Source organism: Homo sapiens, chromosome 2 (genome assembly GCF_000001405.40).
Source record: "Homo sapiens chromosome 2, GRCh38.p14 Primary Assembly".
NCBI classification, from domain to species: domain Eukaryota; kingdom Metazoa; phylum Chordata; class Mammalia; order Primates; family Hominidae; genus Homo; species Homo sapiens.
Window position 1 is genome coordinate 203,663,017 of NC_000002.12, and position 4,699 is coordinate 203,667,715.

General features: G+C 44.0%; 1 annotated feature.

The window, feature by feature from the left end:
- Positions 2,346-2,988: an enhancer, noted in NCBI's record as "H3K4me1 hESC enhancer chr2:204530085-204530727 (GRCh37/hg19 assembly coordinates)". NCBI's record gives its function as "activates a minimal SCP1, AML or CMV promoter by ChIP-STARR-seq in primed H9 embryonic stem cells {active_cell/tissue: H9 hESC(primed)}" and the evidence as "EXISTENCE:reporter gene assay evidence [ECO:0000049][PMID:30033119]".

Genomic DNA, 4,699 nt, shown 5'->3' on the forward strand with positions numbered 1-4,699 from the left:
CTTAAGTACTTAGTGATTGTCATCTTCAGATAAAGCCCCAGCACTTTAACATGCCTGGAATCCTCTTTCCCTTATTCTTTGTCTGGTTGACACTTCCTCTCTTTATGGGTTCAGCTCAGCATTAATCATTTACAGCAAATGTCTGAGGCCCCAGAATGTATACAGGGCTCTCATCTCTCCTCCTGAATCACTTAGCATATTATAATAAAATTATTCACTGATTCATTGGTTCAGCAAATATTTATTGAGCACCTACACTTATTAACCTAGCACTATAAGCTCCAACAGGTCAGGCTTCTCTGCTAAAAAATAGACCTCCATAAATATTTGTTCAACTAAAATAGATATATATTATTTTTAGTTTTAGGGGAAAGGCTTAATTGGTTGCGATGAATGTAATTGCTGTTAGAGAAGCAGTGTGATGTGAAAGAGAGAGAAAAAAAGACCTTACTGGAGTTACAATCAGAATAACTTGTTATAGGTGCTGGCTAAGAGCCTACCTTTCACAGTCAAAATACCTAGATTGAAATCCTGGCTCTTTTGTTTGCTGGCTTTGTGGCATCCAGCAAATTATCCACTCTCCTTGTGTCTCATACGTAAGATGGAGGTCATGACAATACCTAATCTACAAGGTTATTGAGAGAGTTATATGAGGAAGAGAGTGTGTTGTAAATTTTGCAGTGACATATTTATAAAATCAGGTTTTTTTTTTCTTTGAGACGGAGTCTCGCTCTATTGCCCAGGCTGGAATGCAGTGGCGTGATCTCTGCTCATTGCAACCTCTACCTCCTGGGTTCAAGCGATTCTCCTGCCTCAGCCTCCCGAGTAGCTGGGACTACAGGCGTGTGCCACCACACTCAGCTAATTTTCATATTTTTAGTAGAGACGGGGTTTCACCATGTTGACCAGGCTGGTCTTGAGCTCCTGACCTCAGGTCACCTGCCCCCTTCAGCCTCCCCAAGTGCTGGGATTACAGCGTGAGCCACTGTGCTCTGCCTATTTGTTTAGGTTTTTAAGTTTCTCAGTTTGATCCTTGATCCTGCTCCTCAAACTTTAATGTATATACAAATCACCTGAGGATCTGGTTCGGCTGCAGTTTTTGATTTAGTAGGTCTGAGGTGGGGCCTGAGATTCTGCATTTCTAATGAGCTCCCAGGAAATGCTAATGCTGTGCTCCACAGGCCACTATTTGGTCTGGCCTAGAGTCATAGTTTTCAAATCGTACTGTGCATCAGCTTTTCCTGGAGGGCTTGTTTAAACATGATTGCTGGGCCTCTCACCTGAAGTTTCTGCTTCAGCAGGTGGAGGATGAGGCTGAGAATTTGCATTTTTTTCTTTTTCCTTTTCTTCTTTAATTCTTCCAAAAAAAAAAACCGTAATACATGTGCAGAACGTGCAGGTTTGTTACAAAGGTATACTGTGCCATGGTGGTTTGCTGCACCTGTTGACCTGTCCTCGAAGTTCCCTCCCCTCATCCCCCATCCCCCAGCAGGCCCTGGTGTGTGTTGTTTCCCTCTCTGTGTCCATGTGTTCTCAATGTTCAGCTCCCACTTATGAGTGAGAACATGCAGTGTTGGTTTTGTTTTGTTTTTTTTAGACAGAGTCTCGGTCTGTCACCCAGGCTGGAGTGCAGTGGTATGATCTCAGCTCACTGCAATCTCTGCCTCCCAGGTTCAAGTGATGCTTCTGTCTCAGCCTCCCAAGTAGCTGGGACTACAGACGCCTGCCACTACACCCAGCTAATTTTTGCATTTTTAGTAGAGATGGGGTTTCGCCATGTTGGCCAGGCTGGTCTCGGACTCCTGACCTCAAGTGATCTGCCTGCCTCTGCCTCCCAAAGTGCTGGGATTACAGGCATGAGCCACCAACCCAGCCTCATGGTTTTCTGTTCCTGTGTTAGTTTGCCAAGGATGATGGCTTCCAGCTTCATCCATGTCCCTGCAAAGGACATGATCTCCTTCCTTTTTATGGCCGCACAGCTGAGAATTTGCATTTCTAACAAGCTCTTATGTGATGCTAATGCTGCTGATCTAGAAACCTCATCCTTTGAGAACCACTGATCTAGAAAGATTGTTTTACTCGGAGAGTAAATTACTTTGCTATGCTTCAGAAAACAGGAATTGGGACTTAAGACTTGGATTCTGCCTCTTAGATTATAGTTCTGGTGCCTAAGCACATTTAATACTATTTTTTAACAATGATGGGCACTGATGTGTTTCTATGGGCTTTGCATTGTCGAGGTCTGCCACAACTGTAGTAACAATTTAACCCTATCCTCAGACCCCTATAAAGATTACCCTGAGAACTAATGAGATTTTATTTATTTATTATTTATTTATTTTTGAGACAGAGTCTTGCTCCGTCGGCCAGGCTGGAGTGCAGTGGCACAATCTTGGCTCACTGCAACCTCCATTTCCCGCGTTTAAGCAGTTCTCCTGCCTCATCCTCCCTAGTAGCTGGGATTACAGGCATGTGCCACCATGCCTGGCTAATTTTTGTATTTTTAGTAGAGATGAGGTTTCACCATATTGGCCAGGCTGGTCTTGAACTCCTGACCTCAGGTAATCCACCCGCCTCGGCCTCCCAAAGTGCTGGGATTACAGACGTGAGCCACCGCACCAGGCTGAGCCAATGAGATTTTATTTCTTGACTAGACATCTCCCTTCTCCCTTAAGATGAAGGTAGAAAAGAGAGGAAAATATTTTAGTAAGGTTCTCATCAGGCATAGTGAACAGCGGCTCATGTATTGATAGCCTTTGCCATAAGAAATGATATACTAACATAGTGGATTCTCTTCACAGACTTAACGGGAAGGTTGGTACAGACACACTTGAAAGGCATGGGTTATATGACTCCTCAAGGGTTTACTCACAGAAAATCATTAAAAAAAAGTGTGTGTGTGGTTCAAAGTTGTCCCTAATTGAAACAAACATTAGGAAGATGCAATATCAAAATATACTGAACTGGGCCAGGAACGGTGGCTTACGCCTGTAATCCCAGCACTGTGGGGGACTGAGGCAGGCAGATCATGAGGTCAGGAGTTCAAGACCAGCCTGGCCAACATAGTGAAACCCTGTCTCTAATAACAATACAAAAAAATCAGCCGGGCATGGTGTTGGGCGCCTATAATCCCAGCTACTCAGGAGGCTGAGGCAGGAGAATTGCTTGAACCCAGGAGGCAGAGGTTGCAGTGAGGTGAGATCATGGCACTGCACTCCAGCCTGGACAACAGAGCGAGACTCCATCTAAAAAAAAAAAATATATATATATATATATATATATATTTAGAACTGGATCTTCCTAGGTTTATTGGTATTCTAGCTCTTTGGAGTGGAGAGATGTTGGCAGCACTTTCTGGAAGATCAGTTGTTCTTCTATGTCAGCCTGGTACTCTTAGTCCAAGCAGCCTCTTCAGTTTAAAGGAGAAAAGGAAAATACCATGAAACAAAATCATACTTCCCTATCTGGGAAGTGGATCAACTGTCTATGTCCAGTTTATGGCCCCTTCTTCACTATGGGATGGTGTGCTATATTCTGGAGTAAGTTCAAGAGTGGTTCTTGTCCTCAGGATATTTATCATTTTAAGAGAGATGAGGATTTATGTAAATAATTATACGAAAGGCAGAATAGAAGAATTGTTATATCAACCACACTACCAATGTGAAGAAGACATGCAGAGGAAACAATATAATACATTCTGCTTGAGGAAGTTGGAGATGGCTTAAGGAGGCTGTGGCATGTGGGCTGAGACTTTAAAATTAAGAAGATTTCAGAGCTGGGCATGGTGGCCCACTCCTGTAATCTCAGTTACTCAGGAGGCTGAAGTGAGAGCATTGCCTGACACCAGGAATTCAAGACGAGCCTAGGCAGCGTCACAAGACTCCCTCCCCTACCCTCACAACTCTAAAAAAATTAAAAAAAAATTAGCCAGGCACGGTGGTGTGCACCTGCAGTCCTAGCTACCTGGGAGGCTGAGGCGGAAGGATTGCTTGAGCCCTAGAATTCGAGGCTGCAGTGAGTTATGATCACACCACTGTACTGCAGCTTGGGCAATAGAGTGAGACCTCATCTCTTAAAAAAAAAAAAAAAAAAAGGCCGGGTGCAGTGGCTCACGCCTGTAATCCCAGCACTTTGGGAGGCCGAGGTGGGCAGATCACGAGGTCAGGAGATAGAGACCATCCTGGCTAACACGGTGAAACCCCGTCTCTACTAAAAAAGTACAAAAAAATTAGCTGGGCATGGTGGCAGGCACCTGTAGTCCCAGCTACTCGGGGGCTGAGGCGGGAGAATGGCGTGAACCCAGGAGGCGGAGCTTGCAGTGAGCCGAGGTTGCGCCACTGCACTCCAGCCTGGGGGACAGAGCGAGACTCTGTCTCAAAAAAAAAAAAAAAAAAAAAAAAAAAAAAGGGATTTCAGTAGATGGAGCCCTGTTAAGGAGTTTATAGCGATGTAATGTACTTACTATATTGAACCTAGAACTAAAGTTTCCACTTGGTGGACCTCACATACATTGTAAGGGTTATTTCCCCTCAAGTAAGTGGTGTGTAATGCAGAAAAATAGAAATGAACTTTACCAAAGGAAATGTGTGTTAGATTTTGTTACACGAAAGGTCAATGTTTGCTTAGATATTTTTTAAAATTTCTGTGCCCTGATTGCCTCAAGACCCAGTGAGATTTTGGTTGTTTGACCAGATGCCTG